This window comes from Homo sapiens, chromosome 7 (genome assembly GCF_000001405.40).
Source record: "Homo sapiens chromosome 7, GRCh38.p14 Primary Assembly".
NCBI lineage: Eukaryota > Metazoa > Chordata > Mammalia > Primates > Hominidae > Homo > Homo sapiens.
Genome location: NC_000007.14, coordinates 7,791,293 through 7,803,823, shown reverse-complemented (window position 1 = coordinate 7,803,823; position 12,531 = coordinate 7,791,293). Strand labels below are relative to the sequence as shown.

Here is a 12,531-nt window from a genome sequence, read left to right as displayed (position 1 = left end):
ATTAGGGGGTGGGAGGGGAGAGCCTGCATTAATGGGATTAGTGCCCTTATAAGGGGCTGAAGAGACTAGAGTTCTCCCTTTATCATGTGAGGACACAGCCAGAGTGCAAACCAAAAAAAAAAAGGGCCCTCACCAGACACAAATCTGCCAGCACCTTGACCTTGGCCTTTCCAGCCTCCAGAACTAAAGAAATAAATTTCTGTTGTTCATAAGGTATCCAATTTATGGTATTTTGCTGTAGCAGCCCATATAAAAGAAGACACTAAGCAACGAAACTCAAGTAATTGTGGATGATTTTTGAACCATCCTGGTGGTTATCTCCCAAATCCCAAACATATCAACTTTTATTTCCTATCAGAGATGCTACTTATGGCCAGCACTCACTAAATGTTTCTGCTGCCCAGGCTGGGAGCCTTGAATTCCCGGGCTCAAGCAATTCTCCCACCTCAGCCTTCTGAGTAGCTGGGACTACAGGCATGTGCCACCACACTCAGCTAATTTTTAAATTTTTTGTAGAGATGAGTCTCTCAATGTTGCCCAGGCCGGTCTCAAACTCCTAGCCTCAAGCAATCCTCTTTCCTTGGCCTCCCAAAGCACAGGGACCACAGGTATGGGCCACTACGCCCAGCCTCACCAAATGTTTGAATAAATGAAAGAGATCAAGTTGCTTCAACATATAAGATGGACATTTTTCTATGTCCTTGTGTCCTATTTTCACCATTATATATTCAGCTCCATGCACAGTATCTTGAGTACGGTCAGTGTAATAAATACTTGTTGCATGCATAAGTGAAAGAATGAATGCACAGTTTCATGAGAAAGATGATTTTCTTCCTCCTCATGAATTTACTTCCTATATCACATCTTTAAATAAGATGTTTTAAATAGGATGATTTTTCCTTGATTGCAAAATATTTGTTCACGGTGAAAAATATAAATATAAAAAATAAAAATATCTCTTAAAAGTATATTAGTCTCTACTTATTACTCATGATTGTACTGACTTATTCATTTAACAAATCTTTTCAACTACCTACTGTGGGCTAGGCATTAGGGAACCATGGTGAATCACACTGGCCAGGTCTCTGACCTCCCTCTAGTTGTATGCAGCAATACCCTCATATGCTACAACTAGAATACAGGTAGAGGTGTGTCACTACGTAGAAAGTTTCACATTTCAAGATAATCCTTCCACCCTAGTACTTAACATTCCCCTTAAGTCTTAAAGATGATTATTTTGGTGATTAAATAATGTTAGTATATTTCTATATAGTTTTCAAAAGTATCCTAACTACATTTTCATGTAAACTCTTAGAGAGCAAATAGTTTTCTCATGTGAAAAAGAATAAATACCCTAGTTTTTCTACAGAATACTTTCAAGGAGTGTACTTTGATGCTGGAACTAGTAAGGCAACGGGATTTTGAATGGATTTTTTTTTTTTTTTTTGAGACGGAGTCTCGCTCTGTCGCCAGGCAGGAGCGCAGAGGCGCGATCTAGGCTCACTGCAACCTCCACCTCCGGGGTTCAAGCGAGTCTCCTGCCTCAGCCTCCCAAGTAGCTGGGATGACAGGCACATGCCACCATGCCCAGCTAATTTTTATATTTTTAGTAGAGATGGGGTTTCACCATGTTGGCCAGGATGGTCTTGATCTCTTGACCTCGTGATCTACCCGCCTAGGCCTCCCAAAGTGCTGGGATTACAGGCGTGAGCCACTGTGCCCGGCTGAATGGATTATTTTTAAGCCTTTCTCTACAAGTTAATATACTGCCTATTTATTGAAATATATTAGTACATAATCACTCAATTAAAAATAGTTTAAATGTTTTAACTTAAGGACTTGATTTCTGTTTTGTTTTGTTTTTAACAGAAAGTTTTCATTTCTAGCACTAAAGGAGTTTAGCACTTGGGAAGGCACTCCCTGTACTGCTCTCCACTGACTTTCAGCAGACCACTTGTTTCCCTGTATTCAGGCACCTATGGCATAGCAAGAGCAGAAGTTACTATTTATCCTCGGAGGCATAAGTAATCATAGTGACTTGTTCAGTTTCACCGAAAAGGACTTACTCTGTTTCACTTACCTCCAAAGGTTGGTTGGCCTCTATGTCCGAAGTTTTGCCTCTTGCTGTCATTCTTTGCTCATCTGTTGTATCTCCTATGAAGTAAAATATATGTCTATTTTTAAAACTTGACCATATTACTGAGGCCAAACTACTTGCTATTTGTTTGAAGTATCTTTTGTTATTATATGTTTCACATCATGGAAGAAACCACTATTTCCCTTGTTTCAAAGTAAACAAGCTAACTTTTTAAGAACAGTAATTATAAACAGGTCTCATATATCATTCATAAATACATACACACACAACCTAAATGTATCCTGTTTTATCTAGATTTACTCTGGAAAAATCAAATAAATTCATATTTTATAAATCAAGTCATATTTCAAACAAACTTGGAAAGCTTATGACTTAAGGCAAATTATGTTGAAATAAAAACTCTTTTATGATATGGATAACTGTCCTCCAAGTTAGTTTTTCATAAGGCTTACTCTTTGTAAGCGTTTGTGGATTTGCCTTGGAGTAGATGTGTATGTTTATATGTAATAATTAACCAGATGACAGATAATCCTTACAGCAGGAAAGAATAATGAACAAATGCATAAACTAGCCTTCACTTAATACTTTGATTCCTAAGGCTAGTGCCTGACTGGGTTACATTACTAAATGAAGTTGGTGAGTAGGCTGGCTTGAAGGACACAGGATAGACACAAACACACTTGGGTAAGTATAAGCAGAATTTCATAATTGGCCCATTTTAATTTATTAATTATCACTAATGGTTTGTGATTAACACATGATAGAGACTACCTATTAGCCTACTTCTTTGAAGCATAATCAGACGCTAATTTAGCCATTTGTAAATTGCTTTTTCTATAAAATTGGGCAATCTTAGGAATGTCCACAGCAGGGAAGATTACCAAAGAAATGGATGATGGCTTAGCTGACACTAATGGTTAGAAATTTGTTAATGTAAGGAAAAGTCATGAGTCTTGACTGGAGATAAAGTATGAAAATCTTGTCTAAGCTTAATTTCTCCATATGCAACACAAAAGTTTAGTTTACTCATGGCTATAATCAAGGAAAAGTCTCATGAAAATTGTGAAGGATTTAATATAAGCCTGTTGATAAGAATGATACATTAGACTTTGGGGACTCAGGGGAAAGGGTGGGAGAGGGTGAGGGATAAAAGACTATACTTTGGGTATAGTGTACACCGCTCAGGTGATGGGTGCACCAAAATCTCAGAAATCACCACTAAAGAACTTACTCATGTACCAAACACCATCTGTTCCCCCAAAACCTATTGCAATAAAAAAAAAGTGATTAAAGTAATAAAAAATATTTATAAGCCTGTTAAATTATAAAATCATGAAACAAGAACTAAATTGGTAGCTTATATATTTAAGATAAATTAACCCACAAAATGTTTACAATGCATATTCCACCCTATTACTTTGTTCTCTGTTTTGTGCAACATTATTATTGTTGGGCAGGGCCCAGCACACAATAGGTGTTCAATAAACATTAGATGAATAAATTAGTGAACTTCTCTTTGTAGTTGATGGTAAAACTGTGACAAGGCCAGGCATGGTGGCTCACACCTGTAATCCCACCACTTTGGGAGGCCAAGGTGGGTGGATCACTTGAGGTCAGGAGATCGAGACCAGCCAGACCAACATGGTGAAACTCCGTCTCTACTAAAAACACAAAATTAGCTGGACATGGTGGCACATGCCTGTAATCCCAGCTACTCAGGAGGCTGAGGCAGGAGAATCACTTGAACCCAGGAGGCGGAGGTTGCAGTGAGCCGAGAACGCGCCATTGCACTCCAGCCTGGGGAACAACAGCGAAACTCCATCTCAGATAAAAACAGTGACAAGATAAGACTTTATGATACATAATAAAAATTATATTTGAGCATACGTGTTTGTAAAAACATATTTGTGAGGCAAAAGAAATCCCCTATGTCTGAAAGTGAGGGATAAGAGAACCTCCAATTTACACTGGAAAAACCAATGCATGAGGAGTTTGGTTTGCTTAGCTACAGGCATGAGACCACAGGAACCTGAGTGGACAAGGTGATACAAATGTCTGTACAACAAGGTCAACGTTGTGTTTAACAATGCACATGCACGATGTTTCTAAGAAAATACGTATAACGCACTATAAAAAGTCCTTTACTCGAAGAAATATTATTTATCTTTTAAAAAGATTACTATTCCATCCATCACACAAACACTATATTTGGTTAAAATCATGCAGCACAAAGTCCTTCCTTCGCCATTTTCTGATTTCGAGGTGTGTATCTACACAAAACTTTCTCCCTGCTGCTTGAAAAACCAGAAAGGTTATCAGCCAGCGTTCTTAACTTCACACAACACATCTGCCTGGAAGCAATTGCAGAATCACTGTTTACTGAAATGCCATGTCTGGCGATGACTCAGATAGGACAATAAATGATTACAAGGAAAATTGCCATCTGCAAGATTGTTTCTCTGTAAACAAAGGCATAAAAATGAAAGCTGAATAAACAACAAACAGAAAAGAATGGGTCACAATGAAATACAATTTTTGAAGTTTTTTTTCCACCCCTTGAAGAATTATTTTATTATGGTAAAAATTCAGTTATTTTCTATATTTTCTCTAATCCATATAAAAGTTAAATACTATAAAAATAAATAAGCAAAAATGGGTATGAGAAATATGAAATAAGGTACTTAAGTTTTCAAATATCAGTTAACTCTAATTTATATCTTGGATAGATAAAAAAATTTCATTTGCAACTCAGACATTTCAACAAAAACAAAAACACTGACAATTTCATAATACCTTACCTTTCATATAGGCTTTTAAAAAACATCAGATTTGATTACTGTTGGGCAAGCACAGTAAGATAACTCTGCCCACCCCCAATTTACAGGAGAGTGAAACCTAAGGGGCAGAGGCACTCAGTGACCTGCCCAAGGTCTCCCACATAGAAAGCAGTCACAATGGGAGCAGAACCCAGTCTCTTGACATCTCTGGGGACTCTGTGGTCTGGTGAACGGTTCCAATGCATGAGGGCCAAGGTGGGAGGAAACTAGACTCTGAGTTAGGGAACAGGGTGTGAAGAGAGGAGCCAAGGGCTCTGATAGGGAGCTCTGAAGGCAGGATCTTGTGCCTTCTGGTCCTGCAGACAGTTTTCATTACTCCTTTTTGCTTCTATAGGCCCCATAGATTATCTGTTTTCTTCCCTTTTCAATGGTGACATCAAATACTTCTGACTGATGCAAGACTTTATTCTTCCTTCTGCTCCTTCAAAGCAAATACACAGTTCCCTTCATATTTTTCAGGAAGTTTTTAAGGCTGGAAACAATTTTACAAGATGTAAAAATTATCCTTATAGTACAGCCATGCGATTTTCTTTGTTTCAAATGTAGTTTTTATTTAGAGTGAGTAAATGATAAAGGCTACATATACATACTAATGAAGCTCTTTCAGAACTTAAAGGACTGATGTGAAACTCATCTATATTTTAGACGAGGGGTTGGCAAATTTTTTTTGTAAAGGGTCAGATAGTAAACATTTTAGTCTTTGCAGGTCATAAGGTCTCTGTCACAACTTCACAACTCTACCATTGTAGTCACAAGCAGTCATAGAAAATATGTAACCTAATGTGTGTGGCTGTGTTCCAATAAAATTTTGTTTACAAAAACAAGTGGCAGCCTGTAGTTTTCCAGTCTGTATTAGAGAAATATATGTCTTCCATCATTTCCGGGATAAAAAGTTGAATGATGGCCAGGCACGGTGGCTCACGCCTATAATCCCAGCACTTTGGGAGGCTCAGGCAGGTGGATCACTTGAGGTCTGGAATTCAAGACCAGCCTGGCCAACATGGTGAAACCATCTCTAACAAAAATACAAAAATTAGCTGGGGGTGGTGGCATGTGCCTGTAACCCTAGCTACTGGGGAGGCTGAGGCAGGAGATTTGCTTGAACCTGGGAGGCAGAGGTTGCAGTCAGCCAAGATCACACCACTGCACTCCAGCCTGGGCAACAGAGTGAGACCTCGTCTCAAAAAAAAAAAAAAATGTTGGATGATGTTTTAGCTATATAAGGATGTGAGAAAGGAATGGTCATTAGAGTATCATCATGATCCCATTCTACTGGGTGAGGATGGTTGAGGGGAGAAATAATGCTGAAGAGTGAGCACTATGTATAAAGGAAATTGGACAGGACAGAAATTTCCAGTGATGGGAGAAGAACCAAATACCTACTTAGGTCACCCAGAGGAGGCTTGTCTGAAGGGGTTGGTGGTAGGTGGGTGATGGGGCAGACACTTGGTTCCCACTCCTTAATGTAACCATAATAGGTTCATTGTTCATGCATGTGGTAAGTCAATACACTGAGTGGTATGATTTGGATGTGTGTCCCCTCCAAAACTCATGTTGAAATGTAACCTCGAATGTTGCAGGTGGGCCTGCTGGGAGGTGTTTGGGTCATGGGGACAGATCCCTCATGAAGTACCCTCCCTGTGGTAATGAGTTCTCACTCTATTAGTCCATGTGAGAGGTGGTTGTTTAAGAGTCTGGCATTTCTCTTGCTTCCACTCTTGCCATGTGACATGCTGGTTTCCCTTCACCTTCTGCCATGATTGTAAGCTTCCTGGGGCCCTGACCAGAAGCAGTTGCCAGCATCATGCTTCCTGTAGAGCCTGCAGAACCCTGAGGCAAAATAAACCTCTTTTCTTTATAAATTACCCTTCTCAGGTATTCCTTTATAGCAACATAAACAGACTAATACACTGAGACACTGGGCTGCAGCAGAAAAAGAACTTTAATCTTAGGGCCACCAAATGAGGAGACATGAAGAAAGCTCAAATCTTTTCCCCAGAGGAGTTTGGGGGTAGGGTTTTTAAGGGTTTTGGAGTGGGCCAAAGTGTGGAGACCACTGATTGGTTGAAAATTGTGGGGTGAAGTCATGGGGCAGGGAGATGAAGAAACGGTATTCTCTTGCTGATTTGGTTCCTCTGTGGGGGTCTTTAAACTGGTTGGTGTTAGTTGTTCCACTAGAATCCAGGATCTGCTTAAGTAATTCTTCACCAAGAGCTTATGATTCTAGTGTCAGGGACACTATCTTGAACGAAAACCAGAATCCTATCTATAGGAACAATGGGGATACAAATGGTCAGTATCTGGTGTTACATAAATTTTGGTTACAAAGAAATGGGTCGGCCGGGCACGGTGGCTCACGCCTGTAATCCCAACACTTTGGGAGGCCGAGGCAGGCGGATCACCTGAGGTTGGGAGTTCGAAACCAGCCTGTCCAACATGGAGAAACTCCGTCTCTAATAAAAATGCAAAATTAGCCGGGTGCGGTAGGGCACGCCTGTAATCCCAGCTACTCGGGAGGCTGAAGCAGGAGAATCACTTGAACCTGGGAGGCGGAGGTTGTGGTGAGCCGAGATTATGCCATTGCACTCCAGCCTGGGCAAGAAGAGCGAAACTCCATCTCAAAAAAAAAAAAAAAAAAAAAAAAGAAAGAAAATAGAAATGGGTCAAAGTACAGCCAGAAGAATGCTTAAGTATATCTATATATTTCTGTTCAGAATTCCTGTTAACCCTGTGAGGTCACTTGCCTTATGCTTCCTTCAACATGGAGGAAATTCCATTAACATTCACTCCAGGCCTCTCTCCACTCTCCTGTCCACTGGTTGTTGCATTTGGGAGGACTTGGCCACAAGTGGTTCTGTCCCCTTGTCAGAGGCCTTTGAACCAGTGACTCTATCTTGAATAGGATCTGGATAAAATGAGGCTTAGACCTGCTGGGCCACATCCCCAGGAGGTTAGACATTCTTAGTCACAGGATGGGATATGAGGTCACAAGATAAACATCACAAACACCCTGCTGATAAATGAAGATGCAGTAAAGAAGGAAGCCAAAACCAAAATGGTGATGAAAGTGGCCTCTGGTCATCCTCAATGTTCATTATATGCCAATTATAATGTATTGGCCTGCTAAACAATACTCCCACCAACGTCATGACTGTTTACACAACATCCAGAAGTTACCCTATAAGGTCTAAAAGGAAGAGAAACCCTCAGCTCTGGGAAATCCCTGCCCCTTTCCTTAAAAACTCATGAATAACCCATCCTTGTTTAGCATATAATCAATAAATAACCATAAAAATAGCCAACCAGCAGCCCTCGCAGCTGCTCTGCCTGTGGGGCAGCCATTCTTTTACTCCTTTACTTGCTTAATAAAGTTTCTTTCTTCACTCTGTGGACTCACCCCAAATTCTTTCTTGCAGGAGATCTAAGAACCCTCCCCAAGATCAGGATTCCTTTCCAGTAACTTCTCCTTCCCTCTCTCTTAAGAATCAAGGAACACAGGCAGCATGTTGCTGTCTGCTCTGATCCTCCACAGAAACATCCTCCCACTTGGGGAAAAGCCTGACCAGCTCAGCATATTCTGTAACTGAGTGGAACTAGCTGACAAAAAAGCCAAGCTCTGTAAAATATTTGGAGAGGTTTATTCGGATCCAATGTGTGTGTCCATGACCCAGGAAACAGTCTCAGGAGGTCCTGAGAAAGTGTGCCTGAGACGGTCAGGTTACAGTTTGGTTTTATATATTTTAGAGAGAAAGAAATTACAGGCAAAGACATAAGTCAATACATGTAAGGTATATATTGGTTCAGCCTAAAAAGTTGGGATATCTCAAAGTAGGGGTTCTTACAAGTCATAGTTGGATTCAAAGATTTTCTGATTGGCAGTTGGTTGAAGGAGTTCAGCTTTGTCTAAAGACTAGAAGTAAATGCTTGAGTTAAGAAAAAGGGCATTGTGGAAGCCAAGGTTCTTGTTAAGTAGATGACGCCTTCAGGTAACAGCCCTATAGAGAATATCCTAAGCGTCTCTCTTCAGACCTTAAAGGTGTCAGCCTTTCATTTCATCTCTCCTAGATCTGGGAAAGATCTAGAAAGGGAAGGAGATTCTCTACGGATGTAATCTCCCCCACAAAAGACAGCTTTGCAGGGCCATTTCAACGTATGTCAAGGAAATATATTCTAGGGTAAAATATTTTTATTTCCTTCAGGGTCTGCTATCTGTCATGAGGTCCTATACCAGTGTCAGGTTGCAATTTGGTATCTTACTGCTACAAAGAGTCTGTTTTGTCAGTCTTATAATCTCTCTTTTAACATTAATGCTAGTCAGTTGCTCCTAAACTCCAAAAGGGAGGGGGTATACCAAGATCTCTCCTGTCATAATGGGGAATTCAGTTTTTGAGGCCCAGAGGGGGTCCGTTCAGTCTGTTGTGGGGGTTTAGGATCTTACTTTTGGTTTACACACTCAACCTAATTCTGGGATTCCGATTAGGACGCCCTTTTGCTCCCTGTTATAAGCCACATTCTTCAACACCAGCTTTATAGGCAATAAAGATGAGAGTTTGGTCTCCATCTGTTCCTTTTTCCTCCCCTCAATTGGCCAGATCTCATCTGGGGAAGAGGGCTGTTATTATTGGCATGCCCTTGAGCCCAACAAGACTGGAAATGGGCTGTTGTGGACTGGGTTGGAGCCTGTCTGCATGCAAAGGGCTGTGAATACAGAAAACTGTTTTTCTTTTTCTTTTCTTTAATTAAAGATGATTTATCTAGAACTCTGTATCTGAGAATGCAATCTATGAAACACTGGTTCCAAGGGGTTCACATGGAAAAAAATATTTCTATGGTCAAAAATATGAGAAAAACCTTCAGAATGCAAGTTCTCTTCCAGTTGATTTCCTAATGCACTTTAGCATCTAAGAAATTCTGCAGTGATGAAACTTAAAAAAAAATTTTTTTTCGAAGTGTATTTGACTGTGGAGCCATTTTATTCATCTGACACCTATTAAACATCTTGCAGAGCTTCATTAACACACCATGGGAAATGCTGATATAACATTTCTAAAGTTAAATTTGGTTATAAAATATATTCTTTTCATCTGACTCTTCGGAAGACTCTCTATATGGCCAAATTTATTTGCTTTTGGACATTCATTTTAGACAATGCTAACCCACACTTTTTTCCTTTCAATGTTTTTTCATGGCTGCCTTTTAATTCATGACTCCCTGTTAATGCATTTGGGGCAGACTAGCAGTATGTGACTGCATTCTGCTACACGATTCTGATTCCAGAATAGTTGATAATCTATAAAGAAGAAAAAGATAGCCAGGCACCTTGAAGACACAGGAGAAAGCCCCAGTACTTAAAAATATCTCCCCCACAAATTCCACCAATTAGAGATTCATTAGGGTTAATGAGCTCGCTTTTAAAATGCAAATACCCTCTGGGAGTGTTTGCCTATTAGTCATTCACCAAGTGAAGTAGTGGAAAGAACAGGGGAATGGCCACACCATTAACTCCTTTTCATTCTTCAGTCACACTCATTATTCTAGGCAGCCTGGCACTGTGGAAAGAGAATGGATTTGAAATCTGACAGAACTCTACCCAAATCCTCTACCAAATCTATGACCTTGTACAAGTTACTTCTCAGTGCCTCAATTTCCTCATCTGAAAAATGGGAATAATGATACATACTAAGGCTGTTATAAAGATTAAATGGGAAAACATATTAGACACTAATTGCAGAGAAGGATGGGAAGCCGGGGTAAGGTCTTGGTTTCGACTGCTATTCTGTCTTTGCGTGTAGCAATTAGCGACACGCTCGTTCAGCATCAGAGAATCTATGGACTGAAAGTGTGTGTCCTCCCCGATCCCTGCAAAATTCGTATATTGAAACCTAATCCCCAGTGTGTTGGTAGTAAGAGGTGGAGCCTTTGGGAGGTCATGAGGTCATGAGGATGGAGCCCTCACGAGTGATTAGTGCCCTTAGAAGGGGTTGAAGAGAGCTGGGCTGTCCCCTTCTGCCATGTGAAAATGAAGCAAGAAGATGCCTTCTACGAACCAAAAAGTGCGCCCTCACCAGACTCCAAACCTGCCAGCATCTTGATCTTGGACTTCTCAACTTCCAGAACTGCGAGAAATAAATTTCTGTTGTTTGTAAGCCACGCGGTTTATGGTATTTTGTTATAGCAGTCCAAACAAACTAAGACAGAGAGGATGGGAGGGGAAGGCCCGTACATGTAATCTTATTAAATGCTCTGGCAGCATTGTGAGGTAGGCTTTATTGCATTCATGTAACAGAGGCAGACCTGGTACTAAAACCCAAGTCTGTTGAAAATGACAAATTATTCCATAATATCATGGTGCTTCCCATTACTTATCAAAGCTTGAGTTAAGTTAACCAATTCAGTTTTAAACACATTACATTTAAATCTCTTCCAATTCAGTTTAGTTTCCCCTCCTACTTTTTCTAATTCTGTCCATTTAATCCCTGTCTGTTTTCCACCATAATGAAGAAAAGAGGAATAGAGAGAAAACAAAAGTACTAATTGGTTAAGACATGGCTTGCCCAGGAGCCTGGTCAGGATTCTGTTGACAACTGTTATAACCTCAAAGGAAAATGAGCCAAGAACAGGAACAGCTAAGCCATAGAGGAAGGAATGCAGTTAGCAAACAAATATAGGAAAGGGTACAAGCTGACTGTGAATTAAAGAAAAGCAAATTAAAATGGCACAGAGCATGTAATAAATTAGCATACCAAAATTATTAACACCCGAAATTGGCAAAGGAAAGAATTGGCACATGCAAAGTGAATGCTCAATAAACATCTGTTGATTTGACTGTAGGTGGGAGAAGGACAGTAAGAAAGAAAATGCTGCATACACACTCACTAAGAGCTAATAAAAAGAATTACAAACGATTGCTAAAATATAAAGAAAGTTTCAAACTAAGAGTTCACCAGAACAGGTAGTCTACGTTAAAATATATTAGTGTGAATTTTCATACATATTTCTATACAACTTTTAGGCACCATGTTAGATTTTAAATGTGATTGCTGTTCGAATCATACAGCTCAAAAACATGCTTACTACTTTAAAAGCATTGGGCCACACTGAATAGTTAAGCATGCTTAATCTGGAAAGTAAGAACACCAACAAATCTAAATGAGGTCATATCCACCGGTCAGTCCTACCGGTCTGCTCTTAATTAACTTGTCTTGGGCTTCACTGATGTCCTTAGTTCTCAGTCTTGTTACTTTGTAGCTATGGGGTAATAATTTTTCTGGAAGATCTTGACGGAACCCCAAAACATCAATTTAGCCGTTTAACACTTTGTTAAAAACAATTCTTACTTCCAGGCTGGAAGACTAGAAACTGAAAAGGCCAAATTAATTTTGTATATGTACATTTGTACAATACTGTATTATGCTGTACAAATCTGCATCTTGAAAGATTTTGTGTTGTTGCTGCTGTTAATATCTTTCCCATGTCAGAGTAAATTTACATACTGCTGGAAGTATAAGTTGGGTCAACCATTCCTCAGCCTGAATCCCAAAATACTGCCAATAGAAAGCTCTACAAAGGGCTGTTCTCAGCATTCCACTGACAACA

The 12,531-nt window shown here is 39.9% G+C and overlaps 1 protein-coding gene and 1 long non-coding RNA gene across 4 annotated transcripts in view, besides 1 other annotated feature; both read right to left on the bottom strand.

The window, feature by feature from the left end:
* UMAD1 (UBAP1-MVB12-associated (UMA) domain containing 1) overlaps positions 1-12,531 on the bottom strand; it is a 238,472-nt gene that overhangs the window by 75,400 nt on the left and 150,541 nt on the right. For all 3 annotated transcript variants that reach the window (NM_001302350.2, NM_001302348.2, NM_001302349.2), the window contains one exon: positions 2,081-2,154. In NM_001302350.2, the coding sequence (NP_001289279.1) occupies positions 2,081-2,131 (51 nt within the window). In that variant the 5' untranslated portion in view covers positions 2,132-2,154. The remainder of the gene's footprint in view (positions 1-2,080; positions 2,155-12,531) is intronic.
* LOC105379719 (uncharacterized) lies at positions 6,860-7,376 on the bottom strand. Its single transcript, XR_001745081.1, has 2 exons — positions 7,338-7,376; positions 6,860-7,201 (listed from the first exon to the last, which is right to left on the bottom strand). It is a non-coding gene; the product is annotated as an uncharacterized LOC105379719 (long non-coding RNA).
* Positions 10,669-11,350: an enhancer, noted in NCBI's record as "NANOG-H3K27ac hESC enhancer chr7:7832105-7832786 (GRCh37/hg19 assembly coordinates)". NCBI's record gives its function as "activates a minimal SCP1, AML or CMV promoter by ChIP-STARR-seq in primed H9 embryonic stem cells {active_cell/tissue: H9 hESC(primed)}" and the evidence as "EXISTENCE:reporter gene assay evidence [ECO:0000049][PMID:30033119]".